At 42.4% G+C, this 21,543-nt stretch overlaps 1 protein-coding gene across 4 annotated transcripts in view, besides 2 other annotated features; it reads right to left on the bottom strand.

Annotated features, from left to right (window-relative positions):
* Positions 1–13,247, bottom strand: part of SIMC1 (SUMO interacting motifs containing 1) — a 107,566-nt gene extending 94,319 nt beyond the window's left edge. For all 4 annotated transcript variants that reach the window (NR_131772.2, NM_001308196.2, NM_001308195.2 and 1 more), the window contains exon 1: positions 13,034–13,247. Coding sequence is in view for 2 of the 4 variants with exons in the window: in NM_001308195.2 (NP_001295124.1) it covers positions 13,034–13,162 (129 nt within the window). In the remaining 2 variants the exon portion in view is untranslated. The remainder of the gene's footprint in view (positions 1–13,033) is intronic.
* Positions 13,286–13,405: a silencer, noted in NCBI's record as "silent region_16648". NCBI's record gives its function as "represses an Ori minimal core promoter by ATAC-STARR-seq in GM12878 lymphoblastoid cells {active_cell/tissue: GM12878}" and the evidence as "EXISTENCE:reporter gene assay evidence [ECO:0000049][PMID:35858748]".
* Positions 13,456–13,575: a silencer, noted in NCBI's record as "silent region_16647". NCBI's record gives its function as "represses an Ori minimal core promoter by ATAC-STARR-seq in GM12878 lymphoblastoid cells {active_cell/tissue: GM12878}" and the evidence as "EXISTENCE:reporter gene assay evidence [ECO:0000049][PMID:35858748]".

Genomic DNA, 21,543 nt, shown 5'->3' with positions numbered 1-21,543 from the left:
CCTTCCCTCCACTATTGTCCTATGACCCTGCCAAATCCCCCTCTGCGAGAAACACCCCAGAATGATCAATAAAAAAAAAAAAAAGAAAAGAAAATAATTTTCAACCCAGAATTTCATATCCAGCCAGACTATGCTTCATAAGTGAAGGAGAAATAAAATCCTTTACAGACAGGCAAATGCTGAGAGATTTTGTCATCACCAGGCCTGCCTTACAAGAGCTCCTGAAGGAAGCACTAAATATGGAAAGGAAAAACCGGTACCAGCCACTGCAAAAACATACCAAATTGTTTTTGTTTTGTTTTGTTTTTGAGGTGGAGTCTCGCTTGCTCTGTCGCCAGGCTGGAGTGCAGTGGCACGACCTTGGCTTGCTGTAATCTCTGCCTCCCACGTTCAAGCCATTCTCCTGCCTCAGCCTCCCGAGTAGCTGGGACTACAGGAGTGTGCCATCACACCTAGCTAATTTGTGTATTTTTAGTAGAGACAGGGTTTCACCATGTTGCCCAGGATGGTCTCGATCTCCTGACCTTGTGATCTGCCCACCTCGGCCTCCCAAAGTGCTGAGATTGTAGGGGTGAGCCACCGTGCCTGGCCAAACATACCAAATTGTAAAAACCATCAACACTATGAAGAAACTGCATCAACTAATGGGCAAAACAACCAGCTAGCATCATAATGACAAGATCAAATTCACACATAATATTAATCTTAAATGTAAACGGGCTAAATGCCCCAATTAAAAGACTCAGACTGGCAAATTGGATAAAGAGTCAAGACCCATTGGTGTGCTGTATTCAGGAGACCCATCTAATGCAAAGACACACATAGGCTCAAAATAAAGGGATGGAGGAATAAATTACCAAGCAAATGGAAAGCAAAAAACAAAAAGGGTTGCAATGCTAGTCTCTGATAAAACAGACTTTAAACCAACAAAGATCAAAATAGACAAAGAAGGCCATTACATAATGGTAAAGGGATTAATGCAACAAGAAGCGCTAACTATCCTAAATATATATGCACCCAATACAGGAGCATCCCGATTCATAAAGCAAGTTCTTACAGACCTACAAAGAGACTTAGACTCCCACACAATAATAGTGGGAGATTTTAACACCCCACTGTCAATATTAGACAGATCAACAAGACAGAAAATTAACAAGGATATTCAGGACTTGAACTCAGGTCTGGAACAAGTGGACCTAATAGACATCTACAGAGCTCTCCACCCCAAATCAACAGAATATACATTCTTCTCAGCACCACATCTCACTTATTCTAAAATTGGCCACATAATTGGAAGTAAAACACTCCTCAGTAAATGCAAGAGAACGGAAATCATAACAGTCTCTCAGACCACAGTGCAATCAAATTAGAACTCAGGATTAAGAAACTCACTCAGAATTGCACAACTACATGGAAACTGAACAACCTGCTCCTGAATAACTACTGGGTAAATAACGACATTAAGGCAGAAATAAATAATTCTTTGAAACCTGGGTAAATAACGACATTAAGGCAGAAATAAATAATTCTTTGAAACCAAGGAGAACAAAGACACAATGTACCAGAATCTCTGGGACACAGCTAAAGCAGTGTTTAGAGGGAAATTTCTAGCACTAAATGCCCACAGGAAAAAGCCGGAAAGATCTAAAATTGATACCCTAACATCACAATTAAAAGAACTAGAGAAGCAAGAGCTAACAAATTCAAAAGCTAGCAGAAGGCAAGAAATAACTAAGATCAGGGTAGAACTGAAGGAGATAAGAGACATGAAAAACCCTTCAAAAAATCAATGAATTCAGGAGCTGGTTTTTTTTTTTTTTTTTTTTTGAGACGGAATCTCGCTCTGTTGCTCAGGCTGGAGTGCAGTGGCATGATCTCGGCTCACTGCAAGCTCCACCTCCCGGGTTCACACCATTCTCCCGCCTCAGCCTCCTGAGTAGCTGGGACTACAGATGCCTGCCACCATGCCCAGCTAATTTTGTTTTTGTATTTTTAGTAGAGACGGGGTTTCACCATGTTAGCCAGGATGGTCTCGATCTCCTGACCTTGTGATATGCCCACCTCAGCCTTCCAAAGTACTGGGATTACAGGCGTGAGCCACCATGTCTGGCCAGGAGCTGTTTTTTTGAAAAGATTAACAACATAGATAGACCACTAGCCAGACTAATAAAGAAGAAAAGAGAGAAGAATCAAATAGATACAATAAAAAATAATAAAGGGGATATCGCCACTGATCCCACAGAAATACAAAGTACCATCAGAGAAGACTATACACACCTCTATGCAAATAAACTAGAAAATCTAGAAGAAATGGACAATGTCCTGGACACATACACCCTCCCAAGACTAAACCAGGAAGAAGTTGAATCTCTGAATAGACCAATAACAAGTTCTGAAATTGAGGCAGTAATTAATAGCCTACCAACCAAAAAAAGCCCAGGACCAGACGGATTCACAGCCAAATTCTACTAGAGGCACAAAGAGGAGCTGGTACCATTCCTTCTGAAATGATTCCAAACAATAGAAAATGAGGGACTCCTCCCTAACTCGTTTTATGAGGCCAGCATCATCCTGATACCAAAACCTGGCAAAGACACAACAACAACAAAAAAATTTCAGGCCATTATCTCTGATGAACATCGATGCAAAAATCCTCAATAAAATACTGGCACACCAAATCCAGCAGCACATCAAAAAGCTTATCCACCACGATCAAATTGGCTTCATCCCTGGGATGCAAGGCTGGATCAACATATGCAAATCAATAAACGTAATCCATCGACAGAACCAATGACAGAAACCACATGATTATCTCAATAGATGCAGAAAAGGCCTTTGATAGAATTCAACACCACTTCATGCTAAAAACTCTCCATAAACTAGGTGTTGATGAAACGTATCTCAAAATAATAAGAGCTATTTATGACAAACCCACAGCCAATATCATACTGAATGGGTAAAAGCTGGAAGCATTCCCTTTGAAAACCAGCACAAGACAAGGATGCCCTCTCTCACCACTCCATTCAACATAGTATTGGAAGTTCTGGCCAGGGAAATCAGGCAAGAGAAAGAAATAAAGGGTATTCAAATAGGAAGAGAGGAAGTCAAACTATCTCTGTTTGCAGATGACATGATTGTATATTTAGAAACACTATCGTCTCAGCCTAAAATCTCCTTAAGCTGATAAGCAACTTCAGCAAAGTCTCAGGATACAAAATCAATGTGCAAAAGTCACAAGCATTCCTATACACCAATAATAGACAAACAGAAAGCCAAATCATGAGCAAGCTCCCATTCATAATTGCTACAAAGAGAATAGAATACCTAGGAATACAACTTACAAGGGATGTGAAGGACCTCTTCAAGGAGAACTACAAACCACTGCTCAACGAAATAAAAGAGGACACAAACAAATGGAAAAACATTCCATGCTCATGGATAGGAAGAATCAATATCATGAAAATGGCCATACTGCCCAAAGAAATTTATAGATTCAATGCTATCCCCATCAAGCTGCCACTGACTTTCTTCACAGAATTAGAAAAAACTACTTTAAAGTTCATAAGGAACCAAAAAAGAGCCCATATAGCCAAGACAATCCTAAGCAAAAAGAACAAAGCTGGAGGCATCACACTACCTGAGTTCAAACTATACTACAAGGCTACAGTAACCAAAACAGGATGGTACTGGTACCAAAACAGATATATAGACCAACGGAACAGAACAAAGGCCTCAGAAATAATGCCACACATCTACAACCATCTGATCTTTGACAAACCTGACAAAAACAAGCAATGGGGAAAGAATTCCCTACTTAATAAATGGTGTTGGGAAAACTGGCTAGCCATATGCAGAAAACTGAAACCGGGCCCCTTCCTTACACCTTATACAAAAATTAACTGAAGATGGATTAAAGACTTAAATGTAAACCTAAAACCATAAAAACCCTAGAAGAAAACCTAGGCAATACCATTCAGGACATAGGCATGGGCAAAGACTTCATGACTAAAACACCAAAAGCAATGGCAACAAAAGCCAAAATTGACAAATGGATCTGATTAAACCAAAGAGCTTCTGCACAGCAAAAGAAACTATCATCAGAGTGAACAGGTAACCTACAGAATGGGAGAAAATCTTTGTAATCTATCCATCTGACAAAGGGCTAATATCCAGAATCTACAAGGAACTTACACAAATTTACAAGAAAAAAACAAACAACCCCATCAAAAAGTGGGCGAAGGATATAAACAGACACTTCTTAAAAGAAGACATTTACGCGGCCCACAAACATATGAAAAAAAGCTCATCATCACTGGTCATTAGAGAAATGCAAATCAAAAGCACAATGATACACTATCTCACACCAGTTAGAATGGCAATCATTAAAAAGTCAGGAACCAACAGATGCTGGAGAGGATGTGGAGAAATAGGAACACTTTAATCTGTTGGAGGGAGTGTAAATTAGTTCAACCATTGTGGAAGACAGTGTGGTGATTCCTCAAGGATCTAGAACCAGAAATACCATTTGACCCAGCAATCCCATTACTGGGTATATACCCAAAGGATTATAAATCATTCTACTATAAAGACACATGCACATGTATGTTTATTGCAGCACTATTCACAATAGCAAAGACTTGGAACCAACCCAAATGCCCATCAATGATAGACGCATAAAGAAAATGTGGCACATATACACCATGGAATACTATGCAGCCATAAAAAAGGATAAGTTCATGTCCTTTGGAGGGACATGGATGAAGCTGGAAACCATCATTCTCAGCAAACTAACACAGGAACAGAAAACCAAACACTGCATGTTCTCACTTATAAGTGGAAGTTGAACAATGAGAACACATGGACACAGGGATGGGAACATCACACACCCGGGCCTGTTGGGGGGTGGGGGGCTAGGGGAGGGATTGCATTAGGAGAAATACCTAAGGTAGATGATGGGTTGATAAGTGCAGCAGCCACCATGGCATGTGTATACCTATGTAACAAACCTGCACGTTCTGCACATGTATCCCAGAACTTAAAGAATAATAATAATAATAAATAAAAAATTAGCTAGGCATGGTGGCGCTTGCCTGTAATCCCAGCTACTCGGGAGGCTGAGTGGGAGAATCACTTGAACCCGGGAAGTGGAGGTTGCAGTGAGCCAAGATCACTTTGCCTGGGTGGCAGAGTGAGACTCCATCTCAAGACAAACAAACAAACAACACACACACACACACACACACACACACACACACACACACACCCCTGAACTATTATACAAGCTGATTGGCAATGTTTTTGGGAAAACATCTTGATCAAATGAGGGAAATGTGAGTTGTCAGTATCAAAATGGAGTCACTTGGCCAGGCGTGGTGGCTCATGCCTGTAATCCCAACACTTTGGGAGGTCGAGGTGGGTGGATCACAAGGTCAGCAGTTTGAGACCAGCCTGGCCAATATGGTGAAACCCCGTCTCTACGAAAAATACAAAAAAATTAGCCAGGTGTAGTGGCACATGCCTGTAATCCCAGCTACTCAGGAGGCTGAGGCAGGAGAATTGCTTGAATCCGGGAGGTGGAGGTTGCAGTGACCCGAGATCGTGCCACTGCACTCCAGCCTGGGTGACAGAGCGAGACTCGTCTCAAAAAAAAAAAAAAAACCTTGACAAATAGAGCTAGGGAAGGCCATGAAGGGAGGATTATTATGCACAAATGCCTGATAAGTACCACAAAAGGCTCTGCAAAAACCACAACCTTACAGAAAAAAATACTTCCATGAGGACATCTGCCCAGCAACTGCCTGCTCGACCTTGGACTGGAGCCACCCTTGTTATTAATCCTTGCAGATAACGATAATTATCTCAAAACAATTATGTAATCCTCCTCATTTTTCCTTTAAAAGCTTTTGCCTTCCTTTACCTCCCTGAATACACACATAGTTTATTATGGCTCACACACTCCGGTTGCAATGCCATTCCTGAATAAATATCACTTTCTTTTTAGAGAGTCGCTGTCTGTTATTTAGGTTGACATAAGCATGACAACTAAGAAATCATAAAGAAAAGGAGTGGTAGAATTGACTATATAAAAATGTAAAACTTCTGTAATTAAAAAAACAAAATCGAAAGTTGAAAGAAAATTGTAACATGTATGACAAGAGGCTATATTAGTTTCCTAGTAAAAATTACCAGAAACTAGGTGGATTTAAACAACAGAAATTTATCCCCTCACAGTCCTGGAGGCTAAAGGTTTGAAATCAAGGTGTCTACAGAGCCACGTTCTCTTGAAGGCTCCAGGGAAGAATCTGTTTCATGCCTTTTTCTTAGCTCCTGATGTCGCCAGCAGTCCTCGGTGTTCCTTGGCTTGCAGCTGCATAACTTCGGTTTCTGCTTCCACTGTCACATGGCGTTCTTCCCCTGTGTCTTCACATGTTCTTCTCATAAGGACAGTAGTCATGTTGGATTAAGGGTTCACTCTACTCGGCACAACCTCATCTTCACTGATTATATCTGCCAATGACCCTATTTCTAAATAAGGTCACAATCTGAGGTAGTGGGGGGTTAGAACTTCAGCACATCTTTTTAGGAGATACAGTTCCACCTATAACAATCTTTAATATATAAGTAGATTTAACAAATGAGTAAGAAATGTTGGCCGGGTGCGGTGGCTCATGCCTGTAATCCTAGCACTTTGGGAGGCCGAGGTGGGTGGATCACTTGAGGTCAGGAGTTTGAGACCAGCCTGACCAACATGGTAAAACCCTGTCTCTACTAAAAATATAAAATTAGCTGGGCATGGTGGCACATGCCTGTAATCCCAGCTGCTTGGGAGTCTGAGGCAGGAGAATCACTTGAGCCAGGTAGGTGGAGGTTGCAGTGAGCTGAGATTGCGCCATTGCACTCCAGCCTGGGCAACAAGAGTGAAACTCCCTCTCAAAAAAAAAAAAAAAAAAAGGAAAAAAAAAAAGAAACATTATAACACTGCAACAGAAAAATGGGCAAAGGACAAGCATAGGGAATTTGCACACATACCCTATGTGTTTCCAATAAACATAAGCAAGATGTCTGGCTGTACTGCATGTGAGCACACTCCTTTATCTCCAACCTCACTAGCTGCTCTTCCTCCCTTGGGACACTATGGTGTTCCCTTGGGCTAGGTTCTGGATGTTCTTCCTCTTGTCACCTCAACCTAGATGATTTTATCCAGGTCAATGACTTCACTATAACCTATGCGCTAACAAGACTAAATTTGTATCTCTAGTCAGGACTTTTCTTCAGAGCTCTAAACTCAGTACAAATGTTATACTTGGCATCTCCAGTTGGCTATTCCACAGGCATCGTTAAGTTTTATACCTTCAAAACAGAACTCTTGAATCTTTCCTCTAACCCTGTTCCTCCCAAGTCTGCTTCATTTCAATGCATGACACCAACATGCATTCAGTTGCTCAAGCCAGAACTCAGGGCATCCTTCTTCATTCCTTCCTTTCCCTTGTTATCCACATCCAAGTTATCAGGACCTGTTGATTTTATTTACTAAATATCTACATCCCTCCACTCTCCCAGTCTGTACCACCACTCCAGTCCAAGCTACAGTTATTTCTGACCTGGACTACTACAGCCAACCTTCTAACTGATCTCCCTAATTTCACTCTTCCCCTCTTACAGTAGGGTGACTACACTTCTGCTTTGTTTGGGACAGTTCCAGTTTTCACCTGTTGCTTGACATCCTGGTCCAGTTAGCATCCCTTTTCATTTGCAAAAGTTTCCCAATTGGATGATAAATTATATGGTCTCCCTACCTTACCATCTTTTCTTTTCACAGTAGCTAAAGTCATCTCTAAAAAATGTAAATCAAGGCTAGGTGCAGTGGCTCACGCCTGTAATCCCAGCACTTTGGGAGGCCGAGGCGGGTGGATCATGAGGTCAGGAGATCTAGACCATCCTGGCCAACATGGTGAAACCCCGTCTCTACTAAAATACAAAAAATTAGTCAAGCGTGGTGGTGTGCTTGTAGTCCCGGCTACTCGGGAGGCTGAGGTGGGGGAAATTGCTTGAACCTGGGAAGTGGGGGTTGCAGTGAGCCGAGATCGCACCACTGCACTACAGCCTGGGCAACGCAACAGAGCAAGACTCCATCTCCAAAAAAAAAAAAAGTAAATCAAATCATGTCACTGTCCTGCTTAAACCTTCAAAGATTTCTTACTGTATTACAATAAAATCCAAATCCCTTATTGTGGTCTCCAAAGCCCTATAACCTAACCTACCTACTTCTCATCTCTTCTGACTCTGTCCATCAGTCGTTACATTGCAGCCTCACTGGCTTTCCATTCTTCCAGTAAGTCATGCTCATTCCCGCCTCCAAACTTTTGGTTTTGTTGTTCCCTTTGACAATGCCTTATTCATCTAGATCTTATAACTAATTTGTTGTCATTTTAGTCTCAGGTCAAATATTAACTCTTCAGAGAGGCCTTCTCTGAAAACACAATCAAATGTTCCCAATCCCACCAAAGTTACTATTATACTGTTCTCTTATTTGTTAGTTTGTTTACTGCCTATCTTTCCACAGTAGAATGTAGTTCCATTATCATCTTGTTCACCTCTGGTCCCCAGGGTTACAGCATATGCTCAATAAATATTTATTGAATAAATGAATCATAATAAAAAAATAAAAAATAATGACATCTTATGGAATCTGGCTATCAAACAGCAAAGATTAAAAGAACAAAAATACCGTATTTTTTCCCCTAACACTCTGTATTATCACCTGACATTACATTTATAGTGTTGTTTACTATCTGTGTCCCCTCAGTAAAATGAAATCTCCATGACGGCAGGGACTTGGTTTTCATAGATGTATTCCCAGCACCTCTAAGAGTGCCTGGTATATAATAAGTGTTCAATAAATATTTATGGAATAATGTAACAATACCTAGGGGTGACTAGGCAGCAGAGAAAGAGATATGATTGGCCATATACCACTGGTAAGAATATTAATGCACAATTTCTGTAGGAAATTTGGCAATACAGTTGATTCATGAACAACACAGGTTTGAACTGCATGGGTCCACTTACAAGAGAGTTTTTTTCAATAAATATATTGGAAAATTTTTTGGCGATTTATAACAATTTGGAAAACTCACAGATGAACTCCACAGCCTATAAAAATTGAAAAAAACTAAGAAAAAGATATGTCCTGAATGCATAAAATATATGTAGATACTAGCCTATTTTATCCATTTACTACCATAAAATCAACACAAATCTATTATACAAAGTTAAACTTTATCAAAATTTATGCACACAATCACTTACTGACCATAGATGGTGACATCTGCAGTTGACAGAAATGTAAAGATGCAATATTAACTCACAACTGCATATTTTTAAATTCATTATTTTTTTCTTTTTAATTTGTATCACAACTGCATAAAATTTACCATAGACTACACTGTACTACCGTGATAATAATGTCCTACTACCACAGACATCTGCTGCTGCTGTGGTGGGCTCAAGTGTTGTGAGGATCCACTTAAAACGCCACGTGACACTAATCAATTTCTGCACTACTTCCCAGTAAACTGTGTATCACGGTAACAAGTGTTCTCTCCTGGGTTTTTTTCCACATATACTTGTTTAATCATGTGTAGGGTAATATCGTAAACCTTGAATAACACCATGAAACCCATACAAAGTGCTTAGTGATGCTGGATGTGCTCTCAAGAAACAGAGAAAAGTCATGACATAAGAAAAGCTGAATCGCTTGAGATGTACCGTAGATAGAGGTCTGCAGCTGTGGTTGTCCCCTATTTCAGACAGATGATTTATCTTGTAAACAGACGATGTAAACCTATGGTATTGACAAATGCAGTATAGTACTGTAAATGTATTTTATCTTCCTTATGATCTTAACATTTTTCTCTTGCTTACTTTATCGTAAGAGTCCATATAACATACAAAACATGAGTTAACTGCTTATGTTACTGGTAAGGCTTCCAGTCAACAGTAGGCCACTGGTAGTTAAGTTTTCGAGGAGTCAAATGTTACATGTAAATTTTCAACTGCACGGGGGGGTTAGCAACCCTAATCCCCGTGTTCTTCAAGGGTTAGCTACATATAAAGTAGGGCACACCTTTTGACTCAGCAATCTAACTTCTAAGAGGAACTTAATAAACAAATGAACAAGAGTACAAAGATTATGAGGGAATTTTTCACTGGGTTCTTAGAGAAAATTTAGAAACGAAGGCATAATATCCATTAAGAGGAGGTCATAAAAACATGTATGGGGAGGACACATAGGTATGTATGTATGCACATGTGTGTATGCAAGTAAACATTTACATAGACATACATCAAAATGTTAACATTGGTTATCTTTGGATAGTGAGATTACGGGCAATTTTAATTTTCTTCTTTATACATTTATAAAAATTGTATAATTAGATCAACAAAATTAACCATCTGAAAATGTTCTGTTTTTATAAGTAAAAAAACGAAAAACAAAAAATCCCAAACGAAAAAGCCATGATAAACACAGAAACACACCTCATCGACTCAGTGAAGACTAAAGCCCAGGTTAAGAATCAAGAGTTCAGAAATGTCAACTTCAGCATTAGACATGGCTTTCTCAAGTTCAAGCAAGTTACTTCCCCTTAGTCAATATCTATTAAAAAAAAAAAAAAAAGATGTAAAAGTTGCTTCTTTTATTTCATTGCCTGTGAAGCTCAAGAGGGACAGGCCTGGGCTTAGAAACAACACAAAAAGTGGCAAAAGCTATCATTTATATGAGATCCTTTCCTTGCATTTGTCTCATTAAAAATTTAAAACCATCCTGCTAGGTAGGCATTAATGTTCTCAGGCTCAAAAGCTGAGAGTTGACAGAACTTTCCAAAACTCAAATAGTTGCTATGCTGGAGATATTGATTCAGAAGTCTCTCTGACCTCAGAGCCTTCAGGAAAAGCTACAAAGAAAAGGGCACTTTTAGACTTTATAACCTTGCAAGTCTCTCAATGCCTCTGATCTTTTACATGGTTATCATACCACTCTTATCTAATTTGCAAAAAAGATAAAACGAGAATAAGCTTGGAGCTTTTAGAGAGCTGGAATAAATATCTGGAGAAGCACGATTTAAATTGGGTACTGCTCTCTGGAACTTGCCCCTCATTTCGATTCAACTCAAAGGCTCAAGATCAAAATGCTTGCTTGAGTGGTCACAAGTGAGGGAAACAGTGAGAGACTACGCCCATGTACGTATGTGAAAGACCACAAAAGACTGAGATAAGCATGGCATCTGACCACTGAAGAAGGAAGCTGGACCAGAATGAGGGAAAATGGACAACACTTGGGAGGAAAGGAAGCAAGTGGGAAGGACAAAGTTAAACAGGTAGTGAGAGAAGAGGCTATAGGAATGAGGAGGAACTAGGAGGAAAGAAGTATTTTTTCCCTTCCACCTTTTTTCTCTCTCTACTCTTTTCCTTGATGATCTCAGTCACTATTAGGCCTTCAATACTCCTTTCTGTTTGCATGATTGCCAAATATCTCCATTCTTGCCTTTTCTCCAACTACTGAGCTGGCCACATCCATCTACATTTCCTATTAACACTGTAAATCCAACAGGTCCAACCTGAATTCAGCATCTCCTTCATCTCAAGCCTGCTGCTACTTTTATATGCACTTCTCTTATACTTATCAAACATCCATCTAAACCATTCTCTCTCCCCATATTCTTTCAATCGTTCCTTCATCCAACAAATACTTATTGTGCATCTATTATGTCCGATACATTCAGCCACAGCCCTAGATATATCCATTCACTCATGAAGTCGGGTCATTTCTATCTTGGAAATCTCTTCTCTCACTACCTCATGAGCTGCCTAACTCAACTAAATTTGTCTCTAAGACGTCCTGAGAAACCCTCTTGCTTGAAAAATAATATATATTAACTAGTTTTGCATGCTATTCATTCTATAGTGATCATCTAGCACTTGGCACTGTACCTCGGGCACAGAAGGGGTTCCCAATGGAGGTTTAGGGACTGTAAACCAGCTAGAAAGGGAACAGGGGCAGCAGAAGCTAGGAAACGTCTTGAACGAGTATTTGCATAGGAAGCATGGTAAACTGTATGATCTATACACATAACATCAGCTTGATAATCCTTGTGTTTCCGGGGGATGGCTCTGGGAGGCTGGGGAGATCGTTGGAAGCCTTCTGAGAGAAAGCTCCACCTCCCACCGCTTGAGTAGGTCCTCAACAACCACCTGATGATGTATCACCTTCTGAGGGGACCATGGATATTGTGTTCGCCGTTGTATCCCCGGCCCCTACAACATCTGGCTCATAGTAGGGATTCAATAAACATCGATGCAGGATTCTCGAAAGGCAGATAATTCACCACCTCATGAACGACAAAGACGAAGGGGTTCTGAGGGAAACAGAAATAGCGCGCGAGGTTTCCTTCCCTATTCCTTCAGGGCTTGGTACAGGGTAAGTGCTGAGGAAATAAATCGCCCTCCTGTACAACTCCAAAATCGGGCCCCTCGCTCTGCAGTCAGGCCCTGGAGCGCGGCCACCATCTGGCCCAGGCCCGCGCTTCCCTCCCTCCCAGCCTGGGCTCCTGTTACCTCCCTGCACACATCTGTGTCCACCACAGGCCGAAGAATTACGCGCTCCCGCTTTCCTGCATCGGCCCGGCCAGTACACCCGAGCCCCCACGTCCCGCCGAGGCTCCGAGGACGCCCGCGGCCCCGGCCTGAGACCCCAGCCCCTGCAGCAGGCGCGCCAGGAGCTCGTCCATGTGCTCGGCCGCTTTCCAGCCGCAGTCCTCTCGGGCTTCAGCGCTGAGCCTGGGAGGCCCGGCCTCCCCGGTCCCTGCCCTGGCCCCTGCCCCGGCCCGCCGCGCTCCCCGGGGCCCGAGAGGCCCGGAAGGAGGCAAGGCGGGAAGTGGCTGCAGCTGTGAGGCGCCAGGGGCGGGAAGCGGGCGGCGGGCCCAGCCGAGGGTCGCGAAGACGCGCGCCCCCAAACGAGGCGACGCTCACTCACCACGGTCCGGCGGGGCAGCGCGCCGGAGGTTCGCGACAGGGCCCGGCGCGGCCTCCGCGACCGGCCCGGGCGGGCGCCCCCGGAGCTCTCAGAGCCGCTGTCGTCCGAGATCACGATGAAATCCTCCATGGCTGCGGGCCCCGACCGAAGACCCAGGCAGTGGCGGCGGCGGCGACGACTTCGGTTCCTGCTTCTGAGGTGGCGGCGGCGGGGCGGCGGCAGCGGCGGCGGCTACAACCCGGGCCACCGCCACGCCGGCCCCGCCCCGAGCCCCGCCCCGCCGGGCCGCCAAGCCCCGCCCACCGGCGGCGGGCGGCTGGGGTCAGGGCCGGGGTCGCTGTGCTTCGTGGCGGCGCGGGTCCTCCGTTTCCCAGGAGGAAAAAAAAAAAGAAAAATGGAGTCGCAGCCGGCTTCGGCAGGTGTTGGGGCCAGGCGTGCGAGACGCCGAGGCCGCGGGGACTTCCCCACCTGCTTCCAACCGACGAAAGCGTGAAGTGAGGCGCGCCCAGTCCCACCCTGCCCAGGTGTGAAGCGCCTCCCGGACTGAGAGGGCCTTGACTGAGGGGCAGGGAGAGAGGTCCTGGCCCCCGAGTGACCGAGGGTAGGTGACCTGGCTTCTGGCCGAGCTAAGGGAGAGAGAGAGACCCCACTTTTTGGTGCACACGCCCATGTGTATCTGTAGGATAAATGCCTAAAAGCGGACTTATTGGGGCAAAGGCCATGTTTTTGTAGTTTTGATAAATGATGCCAAATTACCCTCCTAAATTGTACCAGTTTGCGATTTCACCAACAATATGTGTCTCTCAGGAGTTTAAACTGAGATTTAGAGCAGGGGTGTCCAATCTTTTGGCTTCCCCAGGAAGAAGAATTGTGTTGGGCCATACATAAAATACACTAATGATAGCTGATGACCTAAAGGAAAAGAGTTGCGAAAAAAAAAATCTCTTAATGTTAAACAGGGAGTTAAACAAGTTTGACGTAGACAGTTGTTCAGTTGGTATCAGGATCAGAAGCTGAAAAGGTGCACAAAAGAAGCCATGAAGTAGCAGAGGCCATGAATAATTAGATGTTGTGAATAAGCAGAAGTTATAAAGGTGAAAAAGGTTGTCCCCAGTAGAGGAATCGGTGGGTAGTTGGCTGGTTGGTTGGTTTTAGGGCAGGACCATTAAAATCAAGATAGGACCTATTGGTACACTAAATGTGGGGTATTGACAAAATCCTGCTGCTCAGGCTCCAGAAGTTTTGCAAAATATGTTAACAGATCCAAAGAATAATGTGTTTAATAGGAGGGGAATTTGTTCCTAAAGGAATGGTTATCAGGTGCTCTCCAAGCACTGTCTAATGCAGTGTTTTTCACACTTTGGTGAGCATCAGAATCCCCTAGAGTGTTTGTTAAGACAGATTGCGGCCGGGTGCGGCGGCTCACGCCTGTAATCTCAGCACTCTGGGAGGCCGAGGCGGGTGGATCACTTGAGGTCAGGAGTTCGAGACCAGCCTGGCCCACCTCGTCTCTACTAAAAATACAAAAATTAGCTGGGCATGGTGGCAGGCGCCTGTAATCCCAGCTACTTGGGAAGCTGAGGCAGGAGAATTGCTTGAATCTGGGAGGCGGAGGTTGCAGTGAGCCGAGATCGTGCCATTGCACTCCAGCCTGGGGGACAGAGCAAGGCTCCATCTCAAAAAAACAAAAACAAAAAACTCAACAAAATACAGATTGCTGGGTTGCTGGTATGGTTTGGATCTGCGTCCCCACCCAAGTCTCATGTTGAATTGTAATCCCCGATATTAGAGGTGGGGACTGGTGGGAGGTGATTGGATCATGGGGGTGGTTTCTTATGAATGGTTTAGTACCATCCCTTTGGTACGGTCCTTGTGATAACGAGTTCTCTTGAGATCTGGTTGTTTAAAAGTGTGTGGCACCTCCCACCTCGCCCCTTTCCCCATGTGATGTCCACTCCCCCTTCGCCTTCCGTCTTGATAGTAAGGTTCCTGAGACCTCCCCAGAAGCAGATGCTACTATGCTTCCTGTACTGCTTGCACAACCGTGAGCCAATTAAACCCCTTTTCTTTATAAATTACTCAGTCTCAGGTATTTCTTTATAGCAATTCGAGAATGAACTAACAATCACACATCAGATTTTCTGATTGAGAAAAAGAATTTTGGGGGTGGGGCCCTGAAATTTGCATTTCTAACAAGTGCCCAGGTGATGTGGATGCTGCTAGTCTGGGGACCACACTGTGAGAACCACTGGTCTGGTGGACGGGGAGTTTATGCCCAGCAGATTTCAGACATTCTGGTCCAATGGGTGAAGTCACCCTTGTGAAAGGATTCATTAAGTTGTCTTCATCTAAAGCTATTAAACATTTAGGGTTGTGATCTCTCACACCTGTAATCCCAGCACTTTGGGAGGCCGAGTTGGGAGAATAGCTTGAGGCCAGGAGTTTGAGACTAGCCTGGGCAATATAGCAAGACCCTGTCTCTACAAAAATAAAAACAAATTAGCCAGGTGTGGTAGCGCATGCCTGTGGTCCTAGCTACTCAGGCAGCTGAGGCAGGAGGATCCCTTGAGCCCAGGAATTGGAGGCTGCAGTGAGCTATGATACTGCCCCTACACTCCAGTCGGGGCAATAGGGTGAGACCCTGTCTCAATAAAACAAAACGAAACAAAATACACAACCATTTGGTGTGTCTGACTACCTGCTTGCTGAAACACTGTCTTCTGTAGGTTTCTGTGATGCTGTACTTCTCTCACCACTTTTTTTTAGTCTCCTTAGCTGACGCCTACTCCTCTACTCACTCCTTAAACTCTTGATGTCCCTTAGAGTCCTGACATTGGCCACCTTTTCACACGGGACCTCTTCCCTCTACAATCTCAACTATTCCCTGGCTTCAGTGATTGGTTTTATGCCAATGGCTGCCACGAGTTTATCTCAGCCCAGTCCTGTCCTTAAAACTCCAGTTGTATACATCCAAACATCTGCTGAAGCTCGTAGGCCTCTCAGGTTGAATATGTCTAAAGCCAAACTCACCTTTATGCTCCCCACACCCACAAAAAAGCCTGCTCTCTTTGTGTGTCTTATGGTGATGGCTCCACCAGCCAGCAATTGCTGAAGTGAAAAACCTGAGCATTGCACTTGATCTCTCCCCTTTCCTCAACAAGTCCTGTCTGTTTTACCTCCTAAACATCTCCTGCATCCCTCTACTTCTTTTGGCCTCTGCTGCTGATTCTAGCCAAGCTCTGGCCTACTCTACTGTGGCAAGACACAAGAGTGTTCAGATTGTATCTTTCTCATCAGCCATCCTGCCTGAAATACAGGAAACTCAGGACCCCTGGTGGTATAATACGAGAACAGCTTAAAAGTACCCTGCCCTTACTTGGCAACCCAGGTGGGATGAATACTGGCTGTGAAGTTGCCCTCCTTAAAACTATAAGTAATGTCACTTATGTTTCCTTGGCCATCCTGGATTTGTCTTGAAGTGTGCCGTTTACCCAAGACTTCCAAAGTGATTGTATGTTTTTCAGAAATTGGTGTATTTTTTTTAAGGTGACACTTTTTCATAGACTCACTCCCCCCAAACCATACATTAGTCTCATGTAAATTGAGAGGCTAATGTAGTATTTTATGCATCCAGTGAATACTGTATTTGGTGAGTACCTGCTAGATGCTAGGCTTATGTTAGGGGTCGGGGATAAAGCAGTGAGCAGGACAGCTATTACCTCTGTTCTCAAAGAGCTTAGCAGTTAAGGAGGTATCACTAGTTGGTTAATGAAGAAAAAATTGTTTCTTTTCTTTTAAAATAATTTTTAATGAAAAATTCATACATGAAAAAATGTGTGAAGATGCAAATCAAAACCACATTGAGATCCTACTTTATACCCATTTAGGATGGCTATTTTTTTAAAAAACAGAAAACAAATTTGGGAAGGGTATGGAGAAACTGGAACCACTGTGCGTTGCTGGTAGGGATGTAAAATGGAGAAGCAGCTGTGAAAAATAGTTTGGCAGTTTCTCAAAAAGTTAGATGTAGAATTACCGTATGATTCAACAATTCTACTCCTAGATATTTGCCCAGAAAAACTGAAAACGGGACTCAAACAGGTACTCGTCTGCAAATCTTCACAGCAGCATTATTTGTAATAGCCAAAAGGTAGAAACAGGTCTTCCTCAGCAGATGAATGGATTAAAAAAAGTGGTATATACATATAATAGAATAATATATTCAGCCATGGAAAGGAATTAAATTCTGATAACATGTCACATGGATGAACCTTGAGAATATTATGCTAAGTGAAATAAGCCAGATACAAAAGGACAAATATCATACAATTCCATGTTTATGAAGTACCTAGAATAGGCAAATTCACAGAGACAGATAATGGAATAATGGTTTTCAGGGGTTGGGGAAGGGGAGAATGGGGAGTTATTGTTTAATGGGTATTGAGTTTCAGCTTGGGATGACAAAGAGTTCTGGAAATGGATGGTGGTGATGGTTGCACAACTTTGTGAATGAACTAATGCCGCCGAATTGTATATTTAAAATGGTTATAATGGTAAATTTTGTGTTACGTCTATTTTACCAAAATAGAACACACTATGTGCATGGTTTTCTTTTATAAAATTTAAAAGCATTACAGACAAGGCTAAAGGCCCCTTTTGCCACTTCCCCCATCCAGATTCGCAATTCCCCCTTTTCAGTGCTGTTATGTTTATTCCTCTAGAGCTGCTTCTGTGTATTTACCTGAATTCATGTGTACTTACTAAAATTAAATACATTTTTAGCTTTATCGAATAACATATCTGCTCTGGTATAGAGTTGTTTATTTTTGAGACGAAGTCTCACTCTATCGCCCAGGCTGCAGTGCAGTGGCACGATCTTGGCTCACCACAACCTCCGCCTCCTGGGTTCAAGCGATTCTCATGCCTCAGCCTCCCGAGTAGCTGGGAGTAGCTGGGCATGCACGCCACCATGCCCGGCTAATTTTTGTATTTTTTTTTTTTTTTCAGTAGAGACGGGGTTTCACTGTGTTGACCAGTCTGGTCTTGAACTCCTGACCTTGTGATCCGCCTGCCTTGGCCTCCCAAAGTGCTGGGATTACAGGAGTGAGCCACCGCACGCAGCCTGCTATTGAGATTTGAAACCATCATTTGTGGTAAAAACATTCTAAATACAAAGCTTCCTGCCTTATTAATGGGGATTTTTTTTTTTGGTGGTTATTCATCTTTAAAATAGTTTTTCTTTTTTCTATTTTTCATTACATGGCAGGGTCAGTGCCTGCAGACCCGCTTTTGTTTATGCTAAAGCCAGCTAGCTCAAGTTTCTCCCTGCTCTAGGGAACATTCTGTCCCTTCTGTGGGATTCCAGGTCTAATCTTCCAGTTTCAGGGCACTCTTAGCTTTTCCACTGGATTGCTTCAGCAGGCGGCCTCTCAGTTTACATAACTTTATTTAAATCATTTTCTTATACTTTCTCCCTGCTTCCTTCGCATCTTCAAATTTGCTGTGATATCAAGGCCTTTGTAAAAATTTTGTTTCATTCCCTATGTTTGAAGAATCCTCATTTGAGAAAGTTAAAGCAATTGAGAATGGTTACGAAGCAGAATGTGTAACTCCATCATATTTTGATAACATCTTTCTAGATATCTCTAAATGGCCGATACTCACATGTGCAAAATTTTTACATAAATGGGATCAGACTATGCATATTGCATCACAGTTGGTTTTCTTAAATTAATATGTCCTTATGGTTTTCTGTGTCAGTGAACATGGATCTATAGTATCCATATTGTCTATTGGCTCATATTTTAAAATAGCGTATTTGCTTTATATAGAAAACCACAAAGAAGCAAGCAAAAAAAATATACCACGTTCTCCCATTCTTGGTATCCCTCATTGAACAGTTTGTAAAACTAAAAGAAACATCTTGTGAGTTCAGTAAATTCTTGCTACCAAAACTTACAAAATGAAAAGTGAAAGTTGAAAGCCACCCTCTCTTTCCTAGTTCTTCTTCCTAACACTAAATACCTTTATTAGTTTCTTGTAAATCCTTCAAAACATACTTACTTACTACACATACTTATCTGTTCTGACACACCCTAAAAATCACACTGTACAGTTATTTACTTTGCTTTTTGTAATTTATCATGGGCATTATTTCCTAACTGCAGGGTAAACATATCTGTCACTTTTTAACAGCTTACATTAAAAAGTCATTTGTTAGGCTGTGCCATAATTTATTTAATTGGTTTTCTATCATGGATATTTTGGTTGTTTCTAGGGTTTTTGTGTATTTTTGTTATTACTATTACCAATTATGTTACAACAACATCTTTGAGCTTCTAAGAAGTCTTGCCACCATATCTGCAGGGAAATTCTTTTTTTTTTTTTTTTTGAGACGGAGTCTCATTCTGTCACCCAGGCTGGAGTGCAGTGGCACCATCTTGGCTCACTGCAAGCTCTGCCTCCCGAGCTCACACCATTCTCCTGCCTCAGCCTCCCGAGTAGCTGGGATTACAGGCGCCTGCCACCACGCCTGGCTAATTTTTTTTGGTATTTTTAGTAGAGACGGGCTTTCATCCTGTTAGCCAGGATGGTCTCGATCTCCTGACCTCGTGATCTGCCTGCCTTGGCCTCCCGAAGTGCTGGGATTACAGGCGTAAGCCACTGCACCTGACCCGGGAAATTCTTAAGCATGGGGGACTGGGTTAGAAGATGTGTGTTTTACATATTGATAGAAATTCCCAAATTGTCATCCAGAAAGGTTGCACCAAATAACGTATCAACAAAAGCACTTGGGAGTGCTTATTTCCCCAAATTCTTCAAGCACTGGTTATCAGACTTTTTAGTTGTTGCCAATCCAATAATTTAAGGTTGGTATCTTGTCCTGATTGCCTTTACTTCATTATGAGTGAAGTTATGACACTTTTAAAGTGCTCATTGGCTATTTGTAGCTTTTTCTTTAAACTGTGTTCATATACGTTGACTTTTTTCTCCTATGCTGTTCATCTTTTTCAGTAACAGTGAAATCTATATGAATAGCTAACATTTACAAAGTATTACATTGCTTGCATATTCAACAAGACACCAAATAATGAACATTTAGGATGTTTACAGTATTATCTTGCTGCTTTAAACATTCTTGCACATACATCTTTGTACTTTGGACCAGATATCTATCTGTTTAAGTTAAATTTCTAGAAGTGGAATTGCTGATTTAAAGTTGAATTATTTGTCCAAATGTTCCAAATAGCATTGTGTGATAGGGGAATGGTCCAAGTGAGGAAGTAGGAAAGAAAGGAACTAAACAGTTACTCCCAATTGCAAGGCCAGTCAGCTCTAAATTAGAGTTTAGTTAGCAGGCTAATTGATGATATCATCCTACCTGCTTTCATCAATAAGCTTTGTAAAATCCTAACTCTCTTTCTCTATTTGAGTGCCCAGACCTCCTGGGAGTCTGCAAATTCTAGGGTTAAAAAAAAAAAAAAAGAAAAAGTAATTTTGTAATTTTCAGGTGGGCAATAGTATTAAAAATTATAAGCACATTCTGAATCATTTTATGACCGTACAACTCCAACATTGGCTTTATATTTCTGTTTATAGTTGCCTGCATTGGTGCATAATGTTTTTGTCTTTTTTTTTTGAGACGGATCTTGCTCTGTCCCCCAGGCTGGAGTGCAGTGGCACCATCTCGGCTCACTGCAAGCTCCGCCTCCCCGGTTCACGCCATTCTCCTGTCTCAGCCTCCCAAGTAGCTGGGACTACAGGTGCTCGCCACCACACCTGGCTAATTTTTTGTATTTTTAGCAGAGACAGGGTTTTACCGTGTTAGCCAGGATGGTCTCGATCTCCTGACCTCGTGATCCGCCTGCCTTGGCCTCCCAAAGTGCTGGGATTACAGGCGTTAGCCACCGCGCCTGGCCAGGTGCATAATGTTTTAAGGCACTATGGTAGTTCATGAATTTTAACTAAGTGGAGGGACGTAGTGGGAGAATTGAGCCAGTTTACTCATGGGGCAGGTGGACTCCAGGGCAAGCAGAGCTCAAAAGAACCTGGGCAAAAGCAATCCTTTAAATTAGAAGAATGTAGGGAATGATTTGAGGGAGGATGAGTTGAACAAATCCTGTCTTTGTACAACTTGTTCATTAGCAGCAAGTGTAGTAGGAAACAATGACATTGTTTCACATTTCTGATTTGAGTAATAATTGGATTAGGACACCAATTCAAGCCAAATTGCATTAATGACCACAATGTCCACCTTAGTTTTACAGGAGTTACTGGGTAACTGCATAAAACCAGGCATTCCAGGATTGTTTGGAGGTGGTTTTGACCAAGTATGAGGTCTACCTTGAGGTAGCAAAGAACTGAAGTTATTAACACCATTTTGTACAGAATAATTATCTGAACATTTTCTGCATTCATGTTATTGACAAAATCAAATAGACAAAAGTTGGTGGGCTCTCTTGTTTTGTTCTAATATGCATTTAATTAATAACGATATATAAAATGCTATT

Source organism: Homo sapiens, chromosome 5 (genome assembly GCF_000001405.40).
Source record: "Homo sapiens chromosome 5, GRCh38.p14 Primary Assembly".
NCBI lineage: Eukaryota > Metazoa > Chordata > Mammalia > Primates > Hominidae > Homo > Homo sapiens.
Note: the sequence above shows the minus strand (reverse complement) of the source record. Positions and strands in the feature narration are given on the sequence as shown.